General features: G+C 38.3%; 1 protein-coding gene and 2 long non-coding RNA genes across 8 annotated transcripts in view; 2 read left to right on the top strand and 1 right to left on the bottom strand.

The window, feature by feature from the left end:
* Nucleotides 1-1,094: 1,094 nt before the first annotated feature.
* LGR5 (leucine rich repeat containing G protein-coupled receptor 5) overlaps nucleotides 1,095-27,435 on the bottom strand; it is a 147,182-nt gene continuing 120,841 nt past the window's right edge. For 3 of the 6 annotated variants that reach the window (XM_047429800.1, NM_003667.4, NM_001277227.2), the window contains 11 exons: nucleotides 25,553-25,624; nucleotides 20,930-21,001; nucleotides 20,705-20,773; nucleotides 20,493-20,564; nucleotides 15,826-15,891; nucleotides 14,484-14,555; nucleotides 9,409-9,480; nucleotides 8,476-8,601; nucleotides 6,982-7,127; nucleotides 4,866-4,949; nucleotides 1,095-3,758 (listed from right to left, as the gene is read on the bottom strand). In XM_047429800.1, the coding sequence (XP_047285756.1) occupies nucleotides 2,671-3,758; nucleotides 4,866-4,949; nucleotides 6,982-7,127; nucleotides 8,476-8,601; nucleotides 9,409-9,480; nucleotides 14,484-14,555; nucleotides 15,826-15,891; nucleotides 20,493-20,564; nucleotides 20,705-20,773; nucleotides 20,930-21,001; nucleotides 25,553-25,624 (1,939 nt within the window). In that variant the 3' untranslated portion in view covers nucleotides 1,095-2,670. Of the gene's footprint in view, nucleotides 3,759-4,865; nucleotides 4,950-6,981; nucleotides 7,128-8,475; nucleotides 8,602-9,408; nucleotides 9,481-14,483; nucleotides 14,556-15,825; nucleotides 15,892-20,089; nucleotides 20,190-20,308; nucleotides 20,565-20,704; nucleotides 20,774-20,929; nucleotides 21,002-25,552; nucleotides 25,625-27,435 lie in introns of all 6 variants that reach the window. The other 3 variants (NM_001277226.2, XM_047429801.1, NR_110596.2) reach the window with 2 other exon arrangements.
* Nucleotides 3,875-10,462, top strand: LOC124902963 (uncharacterized). The gene is made up of 3 exons (XR_007063365.1): nucleotides 3,875-3,950; nucleotides 6,265-6,313; nucleotides 10,374-10,462. It is a non-coding gene; the product is annotated as an uncharacterized LOC124902963 (long non-coding RNA).
* Nucleotides 12,210-27,435, top strand: part of LOC105369833 (uncharacterized) — a 47,788-nt gene continuing 32,562 nt past the window's right edge. The window contains exons 1-2 of the long non-coding RNA XR_001749200.2: nucleotides 12,210-12,230; nucleotides 15,676-15,772. This is a non-coding gene — a long non-coding RNA (uncharacterized LOC105369833). The remainder of the gene's footprint in view (nucleotides 12,231-15,675; nucleotides 15,773-27,435) is intronic.

The raw sequence follows: 27,435 nt of genomic DNA, 5'->3' as shown, positions 1-27,435 counted from the left end.
AGCCAAGCCAAGCATGGACTGCACAAAAGAGGATCCCATTTGATGCCTGTTAATTAGGTTTGGGCATGTGGTTAAGTCTGATGGGTAGGTGGAAAACTCAGTGCCAGGTGCCCTGTGGGTGCTCTGTAAACGTGTTAATTTTAGCAATAATGCTGTGCCTCCTACTAGTACTTGATGGTTTCATTTTGCAATCCATGCAAGGAGAGCAGGAATCACCACTGGAGCTGGTAGGGTCTGGCACAGGTGTCTAGAAAAATAATTTCATTTCTCATGTTTTGGGGGATGGGGACCGAAGGGGAACAGTGTGTTTCTTTGTGCCCTGGGAATTGCATGTCCTCATGTTTTGGCCTTGACATAATCATCAAATGAATTATTTAACAAGTACATGAGTTTTTAAACTCATGTTTAAACTCATGTCCATGTTAAATAATTTAAGGTTGATTTGTTATTCATATATTTCTTTCTAATTGTGAGGATTTTTCTTATATTGCAAAAGAAGTTTGAGACCAATAAAAGTTCTAGCTTATAAAATCCAAACTATCATAACCTTCACAAAAGTCAGGACAAAATGGCTTATCAATCATAAACAATTCAGGAGTTGGTAATGATATTTTGATTCGTTTTGTGAAAGATTGCTTTTTTTATGATAAGTGCAATATATTTAGAGTATTAAGTACAAATATTAATACTTAAATAGCAGGCCGGGCGCGGTGGCTCACGCCTGTAATCCCAGCACTTTGGGAGGCCGAGGCGGGCGGATCACGAGGTCAGGAGATCGAGACCATCCCGGCTAAAACGGTGAAACCCCGTCTCTACTAAAAATACAAAAAATTAGCCGGGCGTAGTGGCAGGCGCCTGTAGTCCCAGCTACTTGGGAGGCTGAGGCAGGAGAATGGCGTGAACCCGGGAGGCGGAGCTTGCAGTGAGCCGAGATCCCGCCACTGCACTCCAGCCTGGGCGACAGAGCGAGACTCCGTCTCAAAAAAAAAAAAAAAAAAAATACTTAAATAGCAAAGGTACTTATACTCCAAAACTTAAAAACATTTAGGAGACTATATATCTGCCTGTGGGCTCAATAAATAGACTTGAAAATATTTTGTTTCATAGTCACACATTTTATTACAAATTTATTTTTTACCCAATAGAAAAGCAAATTTGGAATCTATTTACAAGTACTATATATTTACATATATACAGTTAATGAATTTAAAGAAAATGGGCAGAGAAACACAATATAAATCAAAGAATATGCCACTGTACAAGGTTTATTATCATTATCATGGTCCTTAATGTTACTGAACCTTTACTATAGTAATAAATACAGTTCTATATTTACACATCTTATAAAACATCTCATAAATGTATTTTTTCAAATCCAAGTTAAAACATCTGATCAAAATAAACATGCTTATATAAAAATAAATCTACCTAACAGCCATTTGGTTTGGATGTATTGAAGCTAATATAGGATAATAGAAGGTAAGAATTAATACTTTGACTTTTCTTATTTAATAACTTGCTTCTTAAAATACCTAACACAGTATTAATATGGAATAAGCAGAGAAGTAATGTTCCTAACATCAAGTGGGTTATCCAGAGAGAACACAGCTAAAACCAAGCTAAATAAACAGGATAATACGTTACTGAGTCTCTTGAGTCCAAAGTGGTGTCAGATATTGGGTTTGCCAGAGCTACTAGAGATACATGTGTAAGAAGTTGTATCAGTGGACTTAATTTATGTAATGTGCACATTTGATCATTAAGATGCACATCAGTTTGAATCAACTGATAAAACTTATTGCAAAAATTCTTTACTAACCCAGAAAAAAAATCCCAGATTGCTTACTTTCTTTTCCAGGTATGTTCATTGCTGGCAGTGGAATTCCCTTCTGAGCTTTGGGCACCAAGGAGTTAAAAACAAATCAGATAAGACATACGTCACCTGTGCATGATTGCCTTAGTAACAATTTAAGAATTTTGGTCAGTTTTTCTTTCAAAATACTTGTAAGCAGTTTTATCCCATGAGGGTGGAACCATCTAGTGCTGATACATAAAACCTGGTATCTCTAAAAATGATCTCAATATGAGTGAGTTAACAATACCTTACATTATCCATCTAAGGGATTTGTGCCTTAGAAGGATTCTTTCTGAGGAAAGGCAAAGGAGGACTCAAACATCTTCACATGGTCATTAGAATGAAATCCCATGGATCACAGCCTCTACCTAGCAATGTAGGTCATTGAAAACCCTTATTTTCCTAATTCCCCCAACAACCTCTTGAGTTTGTGGGTTTAAATAAACCCATTTGGAAAGCAAGTGGGTTCTCCCTCCTCCCAAAATGATTACATTGGTGAGTTTAAAGAGAATGCAATTCAAATCATGGAGAATCTTTTCTAAAGAAAATTTCAATCTGCTTTTTTGATCTGGGCTCACTTAAATAGTGTGATCGATCTATCCCTTAGCTGAACAAATTATACAAAGCAGCATTTAGACTTATATTCACTCTCAAGTATCAAGAGGTTTTCAGCCTTTTCTTACTAACTGAGAGATTCTTTTTTGGTTTTTAAACCGAGTTTCACCTCAGCTCTTCTTATTAATTACTGCTCTGATATACTCAATCTCACATTTTCAGGTTCTCAACCTTTGAAAACATTTTCCTTCACATATTAATTAGAGACATGGGACAAATGCCACAGAGGAAAGATGGCAGCTCTCAGTCACTGGATAAGCTGGTGATGGCACGGAACTGGGAGGCAGGTCATAAGTGATGCTGGAGCTGGTAAAGGTTACCAAGGCTTGAGTTGAGTCACAGGACTGTTTTTCGACATCATCAGAGTTAATTGACATCAAGCTTGGGTGTTTTGATCTTGTCCAGACGTAGGTTTGCTTTCTCAGGCTCACCAGATCCTCCTTAAAGTGAGGATTGAACAAGATGTAGAGAAGGGGATTGAGACATGCAGGAAGTGGGACTACCACCAGAAGGATAAACTTAATTACTTCAGGACTGATAAATGTAAGGTTTATTAAAGAGGAGAAGGACAAGAAAGCCACAGGGCAGTTTAGGATGCAGTTGGTGAAGAGCAACAGGGCAATGTGTTTTACCATAGAGCAGTCCCAAATATTCTCCAGGTCTCCCTTGTCCAAATTGCAGTAGAGCTTGGTGTAGGCAATGGTCATCATGAGGAAGCAAAGGGAATTGAGCAAGATGAGAGCGACCATGTAGCCCATGGTGCTGGGCTCCCCAAAAGGCAAAGGCAGGCAGAGAGGGGAGGCGCCATACTTGCTGCCACCCAGCAGGGGAACTGCGGCCATGGTCAAGGCCAGCAGGGCACAGAGCAAAATGATTACTTTCAGGCTAGAAAATGGAGCTTTCGTTTCAAATTTTGCAGAATATTTCACAGAGAACCCACGCTCCAGGGCTGCCAGAGTAAGCAGGAAAACAGATGATTCTGAAGCAAAAATGGACAAAAAACCAATGACATGGCAACCAACCCCATTCTCCCACCAGGCACCATGTCGTGCAAAGCTGCCAAAAGTGAACGCATCCACACCAGCCAGCACGGCACTGGAGACTCCCGTGAGCATGTTCACTGCTGCGATGACCCCAATTAACAGTTTAATGGGGGAAATGTACAGAGGGGATCTGAAAACTGTTGAAGTCACCAAAGCATTACAAGTAAGTGCCAGAACTGCTATGGTCCACACTCCAATTCTGATCAGCCAGCCATCAAGCAGGTGTTCACAGGGTTTGAAGGGGCCTAGAAGTCCAAGGAAGGCAAAGATTGAGTATCAAATTAGGGTTTACAACTTTTGCTGAATTACCCTTTTGTCTCTTTATTTAGGATGCCAAGAGATAATGGTCAAAAACAGCCTAATAACACACAGTGCCCATGTGCATGCTCCACTATCTCAAGCCACTGTCACCCTGGATCTTCTGCAGCACTGGCTGGGTGAGTACACCCGGTGCTCCTGTTCCAGGGTATTGATGGAGAAATGAGAATGGAGAATTTCGATCACTTAATTGAAGTCTCTAAGATACAGCTGTGTTGGAGCCAGGTAAAAAGCCAGATCTCCTGGACTTTTCATTATATAAGTTTTCAGAATATTTCCATAAGTTTCCATAGGCAGACAAGGAGAATCCTAGGGAAATACTCCGTAATATTATGAATGTGAATTTCATGAAAATCTCATCTTAGTTTTAGATTAAAATTTGAGGTTAGGGAGCAAGGGACAATCTATTCGTTAAAAATAAAATATCAACTCTTCCTAGCTATCTTTTTTTCAACTGGCTCATCCTGTTTTTTGGAATGAGACAAACTATTAAGAATTCAACTTCACTTTCCTCCCCTCCCTTCCCATCTCTTCCCCTCCCCTTCCTCTTTCCTTCCCTTCCCTTCCCTCCCCTCCCTTCCCTTCCCCTTCTCCTTCCTTCCTTCCTTTCTTCCTTCCTTCCTTCCTTCCTCTTATCTGTACAAACTATTATTTGCTTTTACCAAATAGTTATTTATAAGAAAAACCTAAGTCACTTTCAAATGTCGGTGATTACACAAAACAAGATTATAGCATACTATTTCAGGGTAAATTGCTAATATCATTTTAAAAATTACATATGCCTCTAACAACATACTTGATTCTTTCGTTTACATTAAGTTAAATCAAAAGTCCTCCCACCTCAATCCTATTGGCAAGTGAAAAACAACTCCAGGGAATGAACATTTGTATTTGACAGGCCACTATGGGGAGGGTTACTGATGAGCTGCAAAGTTGGCACAGATTCGGCTTTTAAAGTATAGCTGTATTGTTTTTCATGGACTCAGAATCAGTGGTGGATACTGCCGTTGAGGAATTTTTGATGCCTTTCTCACCTGGGGAAGGTGAACACTGCACTGAATGAAGGGCTTTCAGGTCTTCCTCAAAGTCAAGCAGGAAATCTTCAAGGTCACGTTCATCTGCAGCACAAGAAGTCCTGGAATGATTAGTTCTGACTCTCTTTTCAAGGGACCAAATCCCAGAGTGGAGAGTCCTGGGTTATTCTGGAGACATGAACTGTCACAAATTCCTTGTGCTCTAGCTTTCTTGCAAGTTATTATAAAGTTGCCTTTGGATGTTTGACTCAAGCTGCTATGACATACTATTCTAGTACAACTGGGGGTGAGGGAGAGTGACCCAAGACGCCGGGTGTAACATCTAAACTCTCATTCTGCTCGTGTTCCCTGCAGCTCATGATGTCCCCACATTGCAGAGCTAAATTAGAGGAGGCTATGGGCCTCTTCGTTCAGAGTAGGAACCGCTTTATCCAAATTTCTAACACTATAAAAGCTATACTGCAAATGTTCTAGGCTGTGTTCTCTGAACACCAGAGAATCAGACACAGTAAGTTTCAGTCTTCCCTGGGGAATTCTGTGTAACAGAGGACAAAACAAATAACTACTTGGTGCTTGGTTTAGCTATCCATGAAATAGGAGTTTTGTGATCTAACATATTTCCCCAAAGATACAGATTTAATTGGTCTCATGTGGGAATTGGGGACCAATATTTTTTAAAAGTTGCTATGTGAGTGTAATATGTGGTCCAGGGTTGAGAATCACTGCCTTTGAAAATAAACTCCATGAATGACCTTCTCTCTGTGTTGTTCATTGTGTACTTTCAAGGCCTAGAACAGTGCCTGGCACAAAGTAGGCTCTCTAATAACTTTTTGCTTGTGTTTTTATGTTTTGAGTGAATAATTTTGGAGAGAAATTAGAGTGGGTGAGGCAGGAAGAGCAAAAACTGAAGCAAGAACAAGAACAAGACACATGCTGTGGCCTAAAACAAAAAAGGCAAGGACCAAGATATCAGTTCCTTAAACAGATACACATGCAGGAAAAACTGGTAAGGTTATCTGCAGACAGACTGAATCATACTTGCTTTGGAATCAACAAATCATTAAGGCCCAAAGCATGAGAAGCCATCCTTCTGTTTAGTCTGTTTAGACTTTGTGCAAACTCGCAGGGTTGGCAGGGAAGGCAGGGGGTGGTGCCCAAAGCACCTCCTCATTACCACAGGTGTGGTTTGAGAGGCATTGTTGTCTGTTTAGGTAACGTCTTAATTCAAGGAAAGCCAAGCTTTACAGACATTATCTCATTTCACCTTCCAGACAGATACCCCGGGGTGGGGTAGGTGAGGAGAATGATTTAGAATTAGTTGGACAAAAAGCAGGATTCTTTAGCCCTTCTGCTGAAATATGAAGGAATCTAAAATGTTTATATCTTTCAATCCTTCCAGGCCATAAGAATGAAAATGGATTTTGTCTTCTGGAGAAAAAGTTTCTGAAGTACGTATGAAAAAGACATCCTCAGAAACAGACCCTTTAAAAAGCTGATGGAAACATCATGTCAGTAATCACCCCTGAGGACAGTATATGCTAAGGGGGAATCTAATTATACATATAAATATAAGAATTCACCTACAGAACAGATGAAATTTTAGGATAAATCCTGAGCTAGTTTTCTCTTTCTCAAGTAGTCTTTAAAAAGTGGGATTTATTCACAATTTGCTGAGGTACAAGGACTTGTCTGAAGTTCAGATAATCTGTTTGATAATTTTTTTTCCTTTTTTTTTGAGACAGTCTTGCTCTGTTGCCCAGGCTGGAGTGCAGTGGCGTGATCTCAGCTCAGCTTGCTTTGGAATCAACCTGCCTCCCGGGTTGAAGCGATTCTCATACCTCAGCCTCCCAAGTACCTGGGATTACTGGCATGTGCCACCATGCCTGGCTACTTTTTTGTATTTTTAGCAGAGATAGGGGTTTCACCATGTTGGCCAGGCTGGTCTTGAACTGCTGACCTCAAGTGATCCATCTGCCTCGGCCTCCCAAACTGTTGGGATTACAGGTGTGTGCCACCACACCCGGCCTGTTCGATGACTTTTCATCAAACATAATTCATTTCCATGTGTTCCACTGAACACAACACAATTTCATTACCATGGCATAGCAAGTCCTACCTTGAGCCTGAAACATTCCAGCATCTTTCTTATGAAGGTCGTCCATACTGCTGTTGTCACCTTTATTCCATTGATTAGAAATCTTATAGGCATTCTCACACACTCCAAATGCACAGCACTGGTAAGCATAAGGCATTTCTATAACCCTTTAAATGAACAAAACCCAAACAAAAAACACTTAAAGAAACGGATAATTAAATATAGTGTTCATGTTCTTTCACCCAATTATTCTACCTTTGGATTTTAGCCTAAATAAATAATCCAAAGTATAAGTTATGCACATAAAGGTGTTCATTACAGTGCTATTTATAAAAACAATGAAGTTATTAAAAATGATCACTATGAAATGTTAATTGCTGAAGCTGAGTGATGCAACTTCCATTACTCAAATGATGGAAAATTTCCAAAATAAAAAGGTTAAAAAAAAGGCTGCTAAGAAAAATTGTAGCAACATGAAAAAGTGCTTATGGCAGAATAAGTGACTACAATATGACATATATTTCTATGCACATTTTGAGTCTAACAATAAAAAATGCACTGGAAACAAAGCTTGGAAAGAAGTAACTTAACCATGTTGTTTAGAGTGGCATTTTTAAGATTTTTGTTCCTGGATGCTTAATAGAGACTGGGAAGGGTGGACTTGGGGGGAAGTGGGGATGGTTAATGGGTACAAAAAATAGAAAGAATAAATAACACCGACTATTCAATAGCACAACAGGGTGACTGTAGTCAATAATAATTTAATTGGGCATTTTAAAATAAAGAGTGTAATTGGATTGTTTGTAACTCAAAGGATAAATGCTTGAGGGGATGAATACCCCATTTTCCATGATGTGCTTATTACATATTGCATGCCTGTATCAAAACATTTCATGTACCCCATAAATATAAACACCAACTATGTAACCATAAAAAATAAAAACATTAAAAATTAAAAAAAAGATTTTTGTTCTCTCTTATGCTTTCCCAACTCTCTTTTGGGGTTTTATTATTTTCATAATTTTAAAAGTATGTAAAAACTACCGTGGGTTAAAAAATACATAATCTTTCAAGATACTTCTTTGTCAATAATAAGCATAACAGATTTTAAGCAGCATTACTTCCTCAAACAAATATTAATTTAGTACATTTTATTAGGTACATACAAGCTAAATTAAAAATTGTAAACAAGAGTAGAATAATGTTATAATGTTATTTAATTACATGCCCTAGTTTATTTTTATATATATTCCATGGATCAATTGTTTTCAAACTCCTCCTATGAACTCTATGATTCTGGGAGGCATCTTTGAGAAGGAAAGGAAATATGGTCAGGAGGACACATTTTCCCACTTCAGGGCTTGTCCTAACAATGCTCCAGGGTTAGGAGACTTGAGGGCATGAAATGCAATTCAAAAGTGTCTCACGACCTCATAAATTTAGAACACCACTATAATACATCTATTATTTCACATGACCACAAATGTATCTTATTAGTTTTAATGACAAACTCACTTGAGTTCTGGAAAGTTTTCAGATGATATCAAGCTCTGTAAGGCATGATTTCCTGTTAATTTTAAGTGAGTTAAACCATGTAACCCAGTTATAGGAAAAGACGACAGGAGGTTGGACGATAGGTCCCTGCAAAACATCAAACAACAATTGGCTTTTAGTCTATGTTAGCATAAAACGTTTATGTTAAAAAAAACAACAACCTAAAGATCGTTAAACTACTCAATAAAAACTTCTAAGCAGGGTCCTTACTCTTAATGGTAAAAGTAACCATTTTGGTTTAGCTCTTGATAACTTTTCTATTCACAATCAGGATTGTAGGGGAGAAAAGGTTTTAATTGTATTCAAATTGTTCTATATTCAGCTTCATTTTTTCAGGTGGGGACATCTAAAATCAAGGGGAAGGTGCTATATTTAATTTGAAAAGTGATGCTGACTAGATTAGGAGTGAGAGGTAAAAAGTGTAGGGGGTGTATTTACTCCCCTTCCTCTTCTCCTAACTTCTGTCTAACCAATTTCTTCTTTCTTTGTTAGATAAGAGATGGGGAGAGGAAGGAGCAAGAGGTGGGAAGTTGGCGTGGGGGGAAGGGACAGGAAGATTCTCTATCAGTCAAAATGGCATAAAATAAAATGGAAGCCCTTCAGACCTGAATTGACATCTTATTCCATTCCACCTGATTACAAAGCACAAATAAAAAACTTCAGCTGAATAATGAGAACCAGGTGTCACCCAAATCTTCAATTATCCACTTAATGGCCCATGTGGCCCTGGAGGAGCAGAACTCCTCCCTGGCTCTGACAAGCTCTAGGCATGGAGAACACAGAGGCAGGTAATCTGTGCATATCCAGCTTCTTCAACAAAACCAACTTTTAAAATTAACTAGATGGTCCTCAATTATTAAGAGACATACCATAAACAAGTTGTGGAATACTCACAGCTTTATTAGGGATGGCAAAGTGGAAAATGCATTGGGGTGAATAATAGCAATTTTGTTCCAAGCCAAATTCCTATTGTAAAAAAAGGCAAATGAGAGAATTATATAGAATAAAGAACATGTGAAGTTTTATCATATGCATTTAGTCTTCTACCAAAATTAATTTAATTTCCATTCAGATCAGAAACAATTAACTTATCAAACTGCCCTTCAGATTATCATATTAGTGGTATAAAATGACTAATGAGAGAACTTTAAATCAAGCTTGTTAAAACCAATCAAGGAAACATCGTTCAGGTGGATATTTTGGTTTTACTCTTGCTAAAAGGTTGACTTTAACATGGTTGTAAAATTTTATTAGGGCCTTTCTAAAATGAGTGGTTGTAGCACTGTGGGAAGGGACAGAAACTTCTGAGTCTCTTCTTCTGACAAGTAAGTGTTAAATTATAAAATGTCCTTGGATATGTAATGAAACTCAAAAAAATTTGGGCACATCACTCATATATGTTAGGCCTTGAAAGAAACACAAAGATGCTTTCAAGAAAATTTCCAGGAAGGATACTGACAAGTAAATTATTAGCCAGGATATGAATAAAATAGGGGCCAACATATGTTAGAAATAAAATTCTTTGATAGTAAAGAAAAAGTACAGTTTATGGGGAAATAAAATTCACTTCCCATGGACAAGTAATGAACTGCAGATAATTAAGTAGGAGTAAAGCATTTTGCAAAAACTTCTGTAGATAATTTATCAGGAATAAGAACTACATTTTTAAAAAGGAAGGATGAATTTAAGATTTTTAATTTTTGTAAATGACTAACAATGGTAACTAAGATGTAGGCATTTGAGAGAACTGAAAGTAAACAAAGTCAACTTTTCTTAAGTGTAGAAAAGTTTATGATATTGGGCTCCAGGGTTACCTTAATAAATGGTATTCACAGAATATTTACATTCTCATTTGAAAGGTTCCTTAGGGACCTGTCCTCCTTTCCTGGAGGAAACTGGAAGTCTTTTCCTTGATCCCAGAACAGAAGAAAATTGCAGCTAACAAGGGGAGGAAACGTATGGAAGGTAGAAAAGCTACAAATGGCGGCTGGGCTTTGGGTAATTGAGTGAGAAGACTGTCTTCTGTTGAGCTGCTCAAGAAATACGTGTCACTGAGGTGAGCAAGTAATACCATCTGTCAGAGTCTTTTTGGCAGCTTTAAGTAGATCATGGTGCCCTGGGAGAGCTTCACAGAGCAGAATATCTGGAATGTAGGCCAAGTCCTGCCATGGTGCTTAGAGTGATTTGGCTGGGGTTTAAGTAAATATGTGAGAATTTATATGTTCAAAGGCCTGTAATTCCTTTTCAATTCATGAGCCCGTGCGCTGGAATCCTCCCAGCAGCCCCAGAGGAGTCATTTTCTGCTTTGTGCCTGGGGCTGATCCTGCAGGCTGCATCCCCAGAGCTCCCTAATGGCCTCAGTTGTTTTCTCAGGAGAAGCCCCAGAAGGAAAGGGAGGTCAGGGCCCTCATGGTCTTCTCTTCCCTGTTTTGGAATCATGTCTTTCATGGCAGCTACAGACTTCTCAAGGGCTGCAACACTTCTCCATGCTTAAGCTCTTTCTTTGTCCTGGAAACATCATTTCCTCCCTGTGACTCTAGCCCCAGATGTTACTGGTTTCTGCACACCCATCCTTTGCTTGCTCCCTGCCAACACCTATGTAAGTGTCTTTTCATTTGAACCATCTTTTAAAAAAATTTAATTTAATTTTAAGTTCCAGGATACACGTGCAGGACATGCAGGTTTGTTACATAGGTAAACATGTGCCATGGTAGGTTTGCTGCACCTATCAACCCATCACCTAGGTATTAAGCCCTGCATGCATTAACTATTTATCCTGATGCTTTCCCTCCCCCTGCCACCCTGATAGGCCCTGGTGTGTGGTATCTCTCTCCCTGTGTCCATGTGTTCTTATTGTTCAGCTCCCACTTATAAGTGAGAACATGCAGTGTTTGGTTTTCTGTTCCTGTGTTAGTTTGCTGAGAATAATGGCTTCCAGCTCCACCCATGTGCCTGTAAAGGACATGATCTTATCCCTTCTTATGGCTGCGTAGTATTCCATGGTGTATATATACCACATTTTCTTTATCCAGTCTATCATTGGTGGGCATTTGGGTTGATTCCATGTCTTTGCTATTGTGAATAGTGCTGCAATGAACATATGTGTGCATGTATCTTTATAATAGAATGATACACACACACACACACACACACACACACACACACACATATATATTTTTTGAGATGGAGTCTCACTCTGTCGCCCAGGTTGGAGGGCGGTAGTGCGATCTCAGCTCACTGCAAACCCTGCCTCCCAGGTTCAAGCGATTCTCCTGCCTCAGCCTCCCGAGTAGCTGGGATTACAGGTGCCCACCACTATGCCCAGCTAATTTTTTTGTATTTTTAGTAGAGACAGGGTTTCACCATGTTGGCCACACTGATCTCGAACTCCTGACCTCAAGTGTTCTGCCCACTTCAGCCTCCCAAAGTGCTGGGATTACAGGTGTGAACCATCACACCCAACATTATGATTTACATTTTGGGGGGTATATACCCAGTAATAGAATTGCTGGGTCAAATGGTATTTCTGCATTTCAACCATCTTAAATGACTTCTGTTTCTTGCTAGAACCCTCAAAAGCTATATACTTATTTTCATAATAATAATAAGGTTGCATAGTTACAATGTGCCAGGTATAGTTATGAGGTTTTTGTTTGTTTGTTTTGTTTTGTTTTTTACAGGTTTTAGTCTCATAACCCTCACCACAACCCTAAGAGGTAGGTATTATCATTACCTTCATTATACTCATGAGGAAAAATAGAAACTGTGTGACAAGTCACTTGAGTAATAAATTACAGAGTAATCTCAGGCGCTGCAATTCAAACGCAGGCACACTGACTTCACAGTCCCTGATCTTGTGCTCAGAACATGTTTAAATTCTTAAGCAAATAATAAAAAAGCCACTGCACTAGACCCTGGGCTAGAAGTTTTACTGAAATTTTAATTTATGGGAACCTGAAAAAGTTCTTATTGTTTTCAGGTATGGCATAGTCTACCTGATGACAGTGCTAAGTATTAAGTTCTATAGTAGAAAATGTGCAAAGCGCATCTGAGTGAAGTGGGCCCAAAGATAGAAGATCTTGTTCTTGTGAAATGGGCAGGGGGACAAGTCATGGGTGGGGAGGAATCCTATAGGCAATGGGAATAGGAGAAACACTGGCTCGTGTGTCAGGGACCTGGAGTGTGCTGAGGAGAGATGACACTGTACCAGGAGGCTGGAATCAGATTTTGAAGAGTGTTGCTGGGAAGTTTGGTCTGATCTTGAAGACAACAGGGAAATAATTAGAAAGTTTTTGAAGCAGGGAAATAACATGATTAGATATTTATTTAAGAAAGAATAAGATGAATGGGTAGAGAGATGATAGAAGGACTGGTTGGGAGGATGATGGTGATCCAAACGAATCATTAATGGGCCTGCGGTAGAGGAGTGGAGAGGATGAATTGGAGTTGGCACAGTTTGGTGAGTGACTGAATGTGAGGTCACAGGGGAAGAAGGAATTCAGGGGGATTCAGACATTTATTCTTCAGAGTCTGTGTCACATTCTTTTGGTATCTATAGAGATCAGCCTTTTTTTTTTTTTTTTTTTTTTGAGACAGAGTCTTGCTCTGTCACTCAGGCTGGATGCAATGGCGTGATCTCGGCTCACTGCAACCTCCGCCTGCTGGGTTCAAGCAATTCTCCTGCCTCAGCCTCCTGAGTAGCTGGGACTACAGGCACATGCCACCATGCCCGGCTAATATTTTGTATTTTTAGTAGAGATGGGGTTTCACCATGTTGGCCAGGCTGGTCTCGAACTCCTGACCTCGTGATCCGCCTGCCTTTTAATATAGAACTGACTTGGGGCAGCCAGACATCAAACCGGGTGAATAAGACAGGTAAGTCTTATTCACTTACCTGAATAAGGGTTAGGGTTAGGAAAATAGTAACCCTTAGTAAAAGGAAAATAAAAGTATTTTCCTTTTACACTTTTTTTTTTTAAGTAAAAGCACTCCACAAGTAGATTTCAACCAAAAGTGAGAGAAGGGCAACACAACGAAATTCAGAACAAGATGTTATTCTGGTAAACTTTTGGGAGGAAATTATTAAGGTTATTAAGGTAAACTTTTGGGAGAAAGTGACTCTTAAAAGTAAATTTAAAGTCTTTTGAGGAATAGTATTATTTTACCAAAGGTATAGTCTCTTAAGTACAAAAAAAATACTTTAGATGTCAGCAAAAGAGAAAGGTTTTTAACAAACGTACTATAGTTTAAACATTACCTATCATCACCGTTCATCAAAATCATATTGAAATCCAGTTTCAGTATAGAAAAGTTTTAACTGTTATTTCATAAAACAATCTGCTAGTAAGTTTTTTAAAAAAATTTAATATATAACATTTCAATCATAAAATGGAATTAAATACAAGTATTTACAAATCTTAGTTGCCTGAGCAACAGAAGTGATTCTAGAACAGCTGTGTTCAAACCTTAGTGTACTTGTTAAAATGCAGATTCCCAGTCCCCACTCCAGAGATTCTAACTCATGAGGCAGATAAGGTTCTGGAGTCTGTATTTTTTAGTTTCCTCGAGGTGATTATTAAGCACTTTGAGACACACGTTGAAAAAAATGCTTAACCAGGAAAAAAAGCAGGCAGATAGAATTATGTGATCATCCCATTTTTGCATGTAAAATGTTTCTTGTCGATTCCAGGTTGTGGACAGAAAACACAGTAGGCTAGTCAACAGCTTAGCTTCCTTCCTCTTCATTAAAACTTCCTGCCTGCTGACTGGTAGAGAGCATAATTGCAAATTTACTACTTTTAGATTTATTCCTGGAAATTACCAGAAGCAAAATACTTGATGTTTCATAGCAAATATATGCACAAAAGTCCCACCACAATAGTACACAATGAAAAGAAAACATTAGGGGAAGGCCCCAAAGAGAAAGAAAATGCTCTGTGCTGGGGAACGCACTGGGAGGTGATACTCACAGCGATCGGAGGCTAAGCAACTGCTGGAAAGTGTCAACTTTAATTTCGTAGATTTCATTATGTCTTAGGTCACTGAAATGACAGGGTTCCAAAGATTGATTTCAAAGTTACTGGTTTCAAAGACTACAGACTTCAGATAACTTTTATAGAGGGACTACCTGCCCTTAATCAAAGGAACACATGAAGTGTATCTATCAAGTGACTGATTTTTGTTTGTTTAAAAAAGAACATTACCATTTACACACTCAAGTATTGTCTCTTTCAAAGGAGCTAGTTTGCTTGGGAGGACGTAAAACCATATTCCAAACATGCAATCATCATTCAAAACACTGGAGGACTCTTCTAGTGCTGCCTTCTGAGCCTCCCTTGGATTCTTTGAGGGTCTTCAGGAGGGTAAATTCTTTACCTTTTACAGATGGATTTGCTTTGTTTTTTTCCCTTAAGCACCCAAAGGCATTGAGAGAAAAACTAAATGTGAAGGGATAGATGGTGAATATTGTTTTGATCAAAACTGAAGTGTGACTATAAAACAACAAGTTTGGCCGGGCGCGGTGGCTCACGCCTGTAATCGCAGCACTTTGGGAGGCTGAGATGGGCAGGTCATGAGGTCAGGAGTTCGAGAGCAGCCTGGCCAACATGATGAAACCTCGTCTCTAGTAAAAATGCAAAAAATTAGCCAGGCATGGTGATGGGTGCCTGTAATCCCAGCTACTCGGGAGGCTGAGGCAGGAGAATTGCTTGAACCCACAAGGCAGAGGTGGCAGTGAGCCGAGATCACGCCATGCACTCCGGCCTGGGCGACAGAGCGAGACTCCATCTTGAGAAAAAAAAAAAAAAAGGCTGATGTTTTGTAGGGGAGGCAATGTTAAGAGAGGAATTCTAAAGAGTTTCATGCATAAGTACCATCTGTAGCACTTTAAATATGACAAATATGGCCTTCCCCTAAAGTTGACTATTGTGAAACAAACACACCAACAAACCCAAGTCCCCACATATTAAAAAATAACACCACTCATTGGATATGTAAGTTTGGTTGTACTTCTAAAATAAGAAAAATTTCAAAGCCCAAACACACCCAATTCACTAGTACCCTGAGTTAGGGGGAGAAAAAAGCGGATATATAATAAATGTTTTACTAATATGGTACAGTGCATGAAAAAATAATATTATCTATGTTTCTCAACTTTCTAAGCACACTGCACAGTCACACCTTGTGTGTGTAAGAAGGAAAAGGATCACATGTCTCCCCAGTGAACCACAGGGTAAATGAACCAGTGACCCTGAGAAATGTGAGTTTTGATTCTTGATTTTTGCTAGGTGACTTAGAGACTTCTAGACTTACATTTTCTGAAGCTTTTGGCAGACTGAAAAACTGGGTAAATCTTCTAATAGGTTGTAAGACAGATCTCTGAAAAACAGAAGGTGCAAAAAGGGAAAATCTGTTACAAATAAATCATAAAGAAACATGCTTTGCTCTCCTTTTCCCTCCAAGATGTTATATCTCCCAAAGGCAGACTCTGAACATTTTCATAGCCCTGACATGGAGCAGGTAGTCACAGCCATTATTGGATTAACCAGTAGATTCAAATGTTTACTGAAATGTAACTGTTATACTTCTTTAATTGATTTAAATAGTTTACTTAATGAATTCATTTATATTTTGTTAGTACTTCTCTAAATGCTCTAGCTATTATCTTACTGCAATGAGAACAAATTAAATTAAATAATTGTGCCTCTGTCTCTAAGAGCTGCTACATCTCTACAGCTCAGACAAATCATTGTTGTTTCTTTTCTAATCAACTCTTTAAAAAAACCTAACAATTCAAAACATAGCAGGAGCTTTGAAATCAATCACTACAAGAAGGAGGTGGGGGAACGGAATCTAAGAAAATCTTCAGCCAAAATTCAACAAATTACAGAATAACAAAAACATCTGGACATATTTATAGTATAATATAACTAATCTAAAGCAAGCCATCATAATTTGCGAAAGCTTGAAAGAAAAGAAAGTTGGTAGATAACGTAACATAGATATATAAGAACAATTTTGTTTCATGTTTTAAAAGTTATCAGCTAATCAACTAACACATTTTCATGCCTGATTCTAATTCTTAAAACCAGATCACCACTATGCAATGGGAAAAATCATACTTTTTCTAAGGGGCTTCAAATTAGTCTTATAATTGATCACTTTATCCTACATTTATTGAATAAATGGGATTTATAAAGGAATAAAGTCCATTTACTCCGCATAAATAGTACAAATGAAGCTGCTTGTAAATCCAAATTTGTAACTTTCTGAAGGTTTGAAAGATACCCCCCCACCCAATACCTCCAAAATCTCACACCTATGCACAAATATACCTGATTATTAATATGGTATGTATTTTTGAAAAATAGCGAATATAATAAAATGGACACACATATTATCAAAGCTGATAATTGGTTTACTCATCTCTGCAGGCTGCAAAGGGGATACTCCTTCATTGTCTACCTCTTAATAGAGGGAACAAAAGACCTTCTACATAAAGGCATAGTGTTGCCTTCTACCTAATGATTTTCAGGGCTAACACTGACCAAGCACTTTAAAAAAAATTATTTTATTTTTTTAAAATTCTGGGGTACATGTGCAGAATGTACAGGTTTGTTACGTAGGTAAACGTGTGCCATGGTGGTCTACTGCACCTATCAGCCCATCACCTAGGTATTAAGCCCCGGACGCATTAGCTTTTTTCCTTAATGCTTTCCCCTTCCCACCCTCCCCCGGCAAGGCCCAGTTAAGTGTGGTTTCTCTCCCTGTGTCCATGTGTTCTCATTGCTCAGCTCCCACTTGCAAGTGAGAACTTGCAATGTTTGGTTTCTGTTCCTGCATTAGTTTGCTGAGAATAATGACTTCCGGCTTCATCCATGTCCCTGCAAAGGACATGATCTGATTTCTTCTTATGGCTGCATAGTATTCCATGGTGTATATGTAGCACATTTTCTTTATCCAGTCTATCATTGGTGGGCATTTGGGTTGATTCCATGTCTTTGCTACTGTGAATAGTGCTTCAATGAACATACATGGGCATATATCTTTATAATACAATGATTTCTATTCCCTTGGGTATATACCCAGTTATGGGATTGCTGGGTCAAATGGTATTTCTGGTTCTAAATATTTAAGGAATTGCCATACTGTCTTCCACAATGGTTGAACTAATTTATATTCCCACCAACAGTGTAAAAGCATTCCTATTTCTCTGCAACCTTGCCAGCATTTGTTGTTTCTTGACTTTTTAATAATTGCCATTCTGACTGGTGTGAGATGGTATCTCATTGTGGTTTTGACTTGCATTTCTCTAATGATCAGTGATGTTGAACTATTTTTCATCTGTTTGTTGGCTGCATGTATGTCTTTTTTTTTGAGAAGTGTCTGTTCATATCCTTTGCCCACGTTTTAATGGGGTTGTTTTTTTCTTGTAAATTTGCTTAAGTTCCTTGTAGATTCTGGATATTAGCCCCTTGGCAGATGGATAGATTGCAAAAATTTTCTCCTATTCTGTAGGTTGTCTGTTCGCTCTGATGATAGTTTCATTTGCTGTGCAGAAGCTCTTTAGTTTAATTAGATCCCATTTGTCAATTTTTGCTTTTGTTGCAATTGCTTTAGGCGATTTCATCATAAAATCTTGGCCCATGCCTATGTCCTGAATGACATTGACTAGATTTTCTTCTAGGGTTTTTATATTTTAAGTTTTACATTTAAGTCTTAATCCATCTTGAGTTAATTTTTGTATAAGGTGTAAGGAAGGGATCCAGTTTCAATTTTCTGCATATGGCTAGCCAGTTCTCTCAGCACCATTTATTAAACAGGGAATCCTTTGCCCATTGCCAAGCACTTCTTATATAAAGGTACCATGTTTATAGCTTTACTTGAATTATCTGGTTTAATTCCTGTGGCTACCTTATGAGGGAGACACCATAATTCTACCCATACAATATGAAATGACTTGCCTAAGCTGACCAGCTAGTAAGTGGGGAAAGTTACACATAACCTACAGAATGGGCTAAATAATTCCCATGCACATGACGCAAAACTAGTCATGTACAGTGAAATTTCCTCATGTAACAAGTACTCAGTGGATGAGTTAGCCAAAGGGGAGAGCTCTCAGATCTATACCCCCAGGAGAACATAAAGCACCTTGTACTAGGGGTGAGGCTCTGGGGTTCTAGTCTCAACTTCAGCTAATTCTACTTGGTTGATACACTAGCTAAGCATTGGTATCTTTCTCAGTTCTCCTAAATGAGAAGACACCATTTTGCAGGGTCATTGGGAAGAACAAATGAATATTATAGGTGAAAATGCTTTGAAAATGGCAAGATCTACTATGAATGTTATGTGTATTCCTCCCGGCTTTTCAAGTTCCAACTCAAGGAAAGAATAATGGTTCCAGGGAAGTGAGAAAGATGATAAAAGTTAACACTGACTGAGAGTTACAGTGTCCCAGGTGCTGCTGTAACTGTTTGACATGTAGTCATTTAATCAGTCCTCATGAGAACCCTCTGAAGGAAGTGGCTACATCTCCTTTTATAGACTGGGAAACTGAGCTCCAGGAGGAATAATAATGTGCTCAAGATCCTGTGCTGGCATATAGAGAGCTTGGATTTGAACCAGAAAAGTTGGCTCCACAGCCTTTGCTTTTAAAGTCATTTTGCCAGTGAGCCTCCATTCATGCAGTTCTAGACCTGAGTGGTTACCACTCATTGTGTGACATAGCAGAGAGAGATGCAGTTTAAACACTGGTTCCTTACTTACTAGCTCCAGTATGTAAAATCCTAATCATATAACTGCGCCAGTTTTCTGGAGAAATGGGGATGATTATACCTGTTCTGGGTGTGGTAGGCAGAATTCTAACATGGCCCCCCAAATTTCTACCACCTGATATACACACACTTTCTCCCAGTTATTCAATCAAATTGATTGTATTTGAATTCAAACTCGCTTCTTTCTTGCTTTGTGATTTTAACAAATTAAATTCTCTAATACTGCTTTCTTATCTGTAGCTGCACTTCATGGGGTGGGATGGGGTAGGGCAAAGAAAGATTTGCTCTATACTCCCTTTCTTCAGATGTGAATCACTGACTCCAAGGCTACCATGTGGTGTCACTGCACCCACATATCATTGAGCAACTGGAGTCTGAAGTGACACGGCAGGCTGGGGCTGGGGAAAGGCAGAATCACAGAGGCAGCCATTCCCGTTTATCTACTTAACATTCTGAGTGCTGCTAAGTAAAGCTTATAGTGAAATTGCAGGCGCTCAATTGCCACAGGTGCCTTCTATGTGAGTGCAGAGCCATGGCAAAAGATTAAGAGTCCTTTTATTAAGTCCCAACATGCTTGAGAGGACAATGATTGTGTTGAGTGGAAGTTGAGGGAGAAGGCTGAAAAATGGAAGGTCAAAACAAGTCTCCTTGAATCCATGTAAACTACTTTTTTTCATAACACATGGGAAAGGCAGAGGAAAAAAGTCCCAAGTCAATAGAAATAACATATGCAAGCTGTTTAACCATTACAGGAAACATTAGAACATGGCATTGACAACTATACTGGAAGGATGTTTGATCACCTTTATCAAGGATTGTGTGGATCTGAGATCTCAGTTTTTGATTTTGGCATCCATATTGGGTGGTTGATCCATTATGTTATTTTGTTCTGCTCTGCAAAGCCTTTAGAGGGGGAAATAAAGTGATTTTGGCCTCTTCATATCTTTTCTGAAAGAAAACATGTGCCAACTGAAAGTCTAGTGGGAGCTTGTTTGGGACTTAGAAAACAAAGGGTACATTACCATTTGTTACCAGGATCATGTCAGAGAGCCTGGACCAAAGAGGGCAAAGGAGGCTTGACCTCCTGCAGACCTGAAAGGAAAAACTTTCTCCTCTTTTAAAGAGATTATTGAAATCATGTCTGCCATTTCACCCCTAAATGGAAGTTGCCTGTTTACACAACATTATTGCCTTACTGATACGCACAGCACTTGGAGATTAGGTAACTGATTGCAGACGGTTTGAGGAAGAGATGAGATCTGTGCTCCAGTTAAAGTCCTGTTAAAACACAAACCAGACATAATTCTTTCATTCAGGCATCACACAGTGACATATTTTGACTCACTGATGTTAAGACTGATCAAGCTCTAATGGCAGTGTATGTTCTGGGCAAAGTCAAGAGTCTACTCAGTACTTACAGACTCTCCAGGTTTGCAGTTCCAGTTAAATCAGGAAATTCAGTTATTTGTGAGGCACCATTCAGAGTCCTAGAAAGAGGAGTATATAAGTATTACTGGTAGAAGATTCTAGACAGGGGTAATTTTTATTGCCATTTTCAAAGCACTTCAACCTATAATATTCATTTGGTTTTTCACAGCAACCCTGTAGAGGGAAAGTGATCCATAAGAGACATAGAAACTTACAGTGTTCTTAGTTCAGGTAAATGTTGAAAAGCAGATCTCCCAACAAACTGGATGGGATTGTCATAGAAATGTCTAAAAGAAACCCAAACAGCAATTAATATCTTAGTATAAAATTTGAAAGATGAATATCTGTTCAAAATTTGAACAAATACAGTAAATGTACTTATGTAATTTTAATTATACTGTATTACATAACATTCCCAATTCCTTGGTTTCAGGCAAGCCTCAAAAGTGTTTTGACTCGCAGTATGAGATTTTTGGTAAGGAATCTGTACTATATAAAATTGAAGATTTCTGACAACAAGGGAGATATGAGTGATAGTTACTAAGGAGAAAAGCAAGTAAATTGAATACTTAACAGTTTCCTCTCCCTCCAACATCTGTAGAATATCCATTGAGTGGCAAAAAGGTAATTCAAAGTACTGGCAATCAGATCATTACTTAATGAAAGACGAAGTCTATCTATCGATATCAACTGAAGGTTATTATATCTGCTGGTCACCATAACATACACAAGAGACTCATCAGATTATTGGAGAGGAAATGAGCTATTCTGGCATATGTCTAAAATTAGAATTTTCTTGAATTAATTATTGTTTTAAAAGGTGAGACATTATTAGAGATTAAAAAATATTTTGTTTTACAGATGTTTTCAATGTAGTGGTATTTGAACTGCCTGGTCAATGGAGTGCCATATACTTTTTAGCTGAGTCATTCTTCTAGTCCAATTAAACTCAACAAATATTCACTAATGTCTACCACGTTTAAAGTATGAGGGTAGGTATGTGAGGATTTAAAGATTGATTCATTAAAAAGCTGTCATTGGGTAACTACTTTGGACTTGGCATTATACTAGATGCTGGGGGTTTGAAGAAGAATGATAAGATGTTCCTGTGGTAAAGGAGCCTGGATTCAGTTGGGATAAAGCAAATAAATAACAGCATATCACTTTCTACTTAACAAAGCTCTTGCATATATGTATGTGTTATATATATATATATATGTATATGTATATATGTCTATATATGAGCTATATATATATATATATATATAGCTCAATTGATCCATGCAACAACTTTATGAGATTCATAGTGTAGATACTATTTTCTTCACTTTTGGAAGAGAAAATTGAGGCTCAGACACCTTGGCAAGCTCATTACCTCCTAGAGCCTCAATTTTCTAATTTGTTAAGCTGAGATAATAATGCTTAGTGGTAGGGTTTGGATAAGAATTAAAAGAGCTAATGCATGTGTAACATTTGAAATAGAACCTGGGATACAGTTGCTACCCAACAAACCTAAATCCTCTTCTGTCCTACCCACTGAGCTCTTCTTTTCTCTTGGGATTAATCAGTAAGAGAAAGAGCTAGAGCTGGAATATGGGCCTTATGATGAAAAATGGAGCTTTCCTCTTAATATCTTATCAGCTCTTAGCTATACCATGTACTTTATGCATATAATTGTGTTCACATACATGTACGTATATATATATACACACGTATATATACACACATACGTATATATACACATACGTATGTATATATACACATATATGTATATATAGTGTGTGGGTATACATATATTTATATATGTATATATACAGTGTGTGCACATATATGTGTATATATACACAGTGTGTGTGTACATATATGTGTATCTATATACAGTGTGTGTACATATATGTATATATGTATATATGCAGTGTGTACATATATGTATATATGTATATATATACAGTGTGTGTACATATATGTATATATGTATATATACAGTGTGTGTACATATATGTATATATGTATATATACAGTGTGTGTACATATATGTATATATACACAGTGCGTGTGTACAGATACGTATATATGCATATATACACGGTGCGTGTGTACAGATACGTATATATGCATATATACACGGTGCGTGTGTACAGATACGTATATATGCATATATACACGGTGCGTGTGTACAGATACGTATATATGCATATATACACGGTGCGTGTGTACAGTTACGTATATATGCATATATACACGGTGCGTGTGTACAGATACGTATATATGCATATATACACGGTGCGTGTGTACAGATACGTATATATGCATATATACACGGTGCGTGTGTACAGATACGTATATATGCATATATACACGGTGCGTGTGTACAGATACGTATATATGCATATATACACGGTGCGTGTGTACAGATACGTATATATGCATATATACACGGTGCGTGTGTACAGATACGTATATATGCATATATACACGGTGCGTGTGTACAGATACGTATATATGCATATATACACGGTGCGTGTGTACAGATACGTATATATGCATATATACACGGTGCGTGTGTACAGATACGTATATATGCATATATACACGGTGCGTGTGTACAGATACGTATATATGCATATATACACGGTGCGTGTATACAGATACGTATATATGCATATATACACGGTGCGTGTGTACAGATACGTATATATGCATATATACACAGTGCGTGTGTACAGATACGTATATATGCATATATACACGGTGTGTGTGTACATATATATGTATATATGTATATGTATACACACAGTATATATATACACACTATATACACACACACACACACACACACACTGGGCAGGTATGAATATACATGCTTGTGTGCATAAGGCAGAAGTATCATAAACACACATAAGGAGTTTTAGGGTTCTCAGGAGGGAACTCTCTCATATGTTCGGGAGAGATTATAAAAAACTTCAAGAAATGGCTTTTAAAATGGGCCCTGAAAGAATTTCAAGAAGCATAGTGAGGGAATGGGATCGTAGGAGCAAAGGAAGTAAGAAAAGAGCTTTGTTCCGTGAACATAACTTAGTCAGTCTGGTTTATGAATTAGGGTGAATGAGGAGAGCTTTGGGGAACTGGTTGACAGGGTTGGCTTAGGCCATGTGTGGCCTTAGACTGTGAATGTCAGGATGAGGAGTTTGCATTTAGTGTAAATAGACATCCTGAACGCACATTTCACAGCAGAAGTAACAAGATGGTTGCCGTGCTTCAAGGAAGATGAGTGCTGCCAACGGTGAAGGGAGGGAGGCCAGCCTCACGCAGACTGGTGAAAATCTGGATGTCATGGTTGGCAGAGAGGCTGGTGCAGTGGAGGTCAGGAGGTATGGATAGGATGGGGACTACAGAGGTGGAAATGAGGAGTGGGTAGCCAACTGGACCTGGAAAGCATTCACAGAAATGCGGGCTTTGAAGAGATGGAAACAGATGCAGGAGCAAGGAGAGGAGAGTTTATGGGAGAAAGTGGTCACCACTGTCAAATAGTGGATAGGAGGTCTAATATATATAGAGTTGGGGTTGGCGCCGCTAGTTCCTCAGGGAGTATTAGCATATCAAAAGAGTGATGAAAAACCAGTACTGTGGCTGCAGAAGGAGGAGCAAAGGCAATGTAATTTGCCAACCTCTTAATACGCAAATACGCTCTAATGAGGGCTAATGTTTATTGTCAATGTACTTTAAAACTCTTAGTTTGCCAAAATATTGCCAGAACATTTCAGAAACAATGAATAGTTTTTTTCTTCTGGTTGTCAAGGCTAATTGGGACTCCTGCTCATTTGTGACAAATACCACATGGTCCCAGAAAGCCCGTCACTCCAGTTGGCACAGGACCAACATCTGCTGAGAAGTGCCCCTAGAGTCATGTTTAACAGTTGTCCTTACTCTCCTCCTCTATATTCAGGCTTCTCATTCACAACCTCAGGTTTGATGGTGTCCCAAATCTGCCTCCGAGAGGAGCCTTTTGTCTAAGAGCCAGCCTCATACTCAGAACTGTATATCATCATTCTACTGTATTAAATATGAAACATAAAATTAGTTATACTTTGTAGTTGTAACTCTATTTTATCCTTTTGTTGGAGACAGGGCTCTGTTGCCCATGATAGACTTCGGAGGCATGATCATAGTTCACTGTAACCTCCAACTCTTGAGCTCAAGTGATCCTCCTGCATTGGCCTCCCAAAGTGTTAGAATTACAGGCATGAGCCACAGTGCCTGGCCGATTTTATTCTTTTATGGCATATAAATCCTCATACACACCTTTCTAAAATGTTATTTATCATTCTAGAATTACATCCTAGTTTGTATAAATGTGAATGTTTGGGCATAATAATGAATGGAGATAGAGGCTTAGCACAAAACAGTATAAAACCCCTACCATCAATTTAGGCTGGAGTCTATTGCTGTAAAAGACATCCATTTGTATATAATAATTTATATTTCTAGTATACTCGGGTTTAAGTTCAGAATGACTATGCAGACTTGACATTAATGCTCTAAAAATCAGTTTTATTTCTTAGAAAATAGAGGTAATCAAAAGCATTTTACAAGATTATTTTAAAGATACCTAGCACATCTGGAGATACCAATCATAATGTGATCTTTAAAAAAATCTTTTATATTATTTCAGTGTTCAGCTAGAACCTGGCAAAATGCATGTGTATATACCTTTCTGTATGAACTCTTAGATTGACTAAGACAAAACTCAGGCAAATATAGAATATTCATTGTATTTCAAAGTATAATATATGCTATATTTCAGGATGGAGAAACCGAAAAGCATTATGGTCACTTACATTGTAATAAGAGAAGGGTTGCCTACAAATGCTTTCTCAGGTATCGACCTGATATTGTTGCTATGAAATCCTCTAGAAAGAGAAAAAAAATTATAAAAAATCCTGTGTGGGGTAAAATTATTTAATAGAGGCCCCCACCCTGACCACAGTGGCAATAATCAGAACCTTTAGTAACCAGAGGACAATATTAAATTCCTCTATGCATCTTGAAACTTAGGTGCCGTTATTTACTCTCTAGAGGATAAAAAAAGTCATGTGCTGTCATCTTAAAAGAGAAATAAAGAATCTGAAAATAATAACTGCACTTCATGGAAACTTACAATCTAATGTTATAAGAAGAAAATCTGTTAATATCCAATAGAGCATCATTGTATAAAAGCCTGAGAGAGTGGAAACCATTTTTGGAGAGATTATGATCACTCCTACTGACCCCATTTGAAGCTAGAAGAGAAAATTGACTTAAGCTGCAGTGAAGTAAAGATTTAAGTAGTCTCCTTATGAGGACAAAATTTTCTGACTTGAAGAAAGGTGCCCTGGCTCAGTGAATCTGTAGTTATAAGCTGATTGTCATCTGTTGTTGTTGATGTTGTCTGAATGGCTGAGAAGCAGGTTCAATGATCTTTGGAGCTTATTTGGGCCTGTGGCTGTATGAGGTGACCCCATGCCATGAAGCCACTGCCCAGCTAAGCCACACATGGGGTTTCCTAAGTCAGAACACCCTAAGGGTTTTTCTTATAAACAAGCTCCTCTGTGTCTCCTTTAGCTGTATGTCTTATTTCTCACTGCTAGGGGAATGAGGTTCAGTGTTTATTTTCCTTTCCAAGTGTTAGAACATTACTAACATAGATTATTTATCTTTTTAGATATGAAAAAGCTAATTAAATTTTATCATCTAAAAGGCAGTATATGCAAACCAATGGCTGAAAGTCAGCTTTTCTTTAGTAAAATTGTGGGGTTTTAGAATTAAATAAGATTCATTGAACATTTACAAATGAAATACAGCTGACCCTTGCACAAAATGGATTTAAACTGCCTGGATCCACTTTTCTTTGTTGTTGTTGAGACAGAATCTTGTTCTGTCTCCCAGGCTGGAGTGCAGTGGTGCAATCTCGGCTCACTGCAATCACCGCCCCTCTGGTTCAAAGCAATTCTCGTGCCTCAGCCTTCCAAGAAGCTGGGATTATAGGCATGTGCCACGAGGCCCAGCCAATTTTTGTATTTTTAGTAGAGACGGGGTTTCACCATGTTGGCCAGGCTGGTCTCGAACTCCTGGCCTCGAGTAATCTGCCTGCCTCGGCCTCCCAAAGCACGGGGATTACAGGCATGACCCATTGAGCTGGCCTGCATGGCTCCACTTATATGTGGGGTTTCTTCTGCCTTTGCCACCCCTGGGATAACGAGACAAACATCTCCTCTTCCTCTTCCTCCTCAGCCTCCTCAATGTGAAGATGACAGGGATGAAGACCTTTATGATGATATACTTCCACTTAATAAATAGTAAATATATTTTCTGTTTCTTAGAATTTTTTAAATAACATTTTCTTTTCTCTAGCTTACTTTATTATAAGAATATAGTTCAAAATACATATACAAAATATGTGTTAATAGACTGTTTATATTATTGATAAGGCTTCTGGCCAACATTAGACTATTAGTAGTTAAGTTTTTAAGAAGTCAAAAGTTATACATGGATTTTCTACTGTGCAAGGGTTGTTGTCCCTAACCCCTAGTTGTTCAAGGGTCAGCTGCAATGTATGTGAATGCATCTCATACTTTACTAGGCACAGACAGTTTGATTCATTTATTTCTAGACTTATGCAACCCAGAAATGTTCAAGTTCTCAGAAATGCTCAGCAATTAAATTCCATTTTAGTTCTACTACT

The sequence above is a fragment of the Homo sapiens genome, chromosome 12, assembly GCF_000001405.40.
Source record: "Homo sapiens chromosome 12, GRCh38.p14 Primary Assembly".
In the NCBI taxonomy this organism is placed as follows: domain Eukaryota; kingdom Metazoa; phylum Chordata; class Mammalia; order Primates; family Hominidae; genus Homo; species Homo sapiens.
This window is presented reverse-complemented; position numbering and strand designations above follow the sequence as displayed.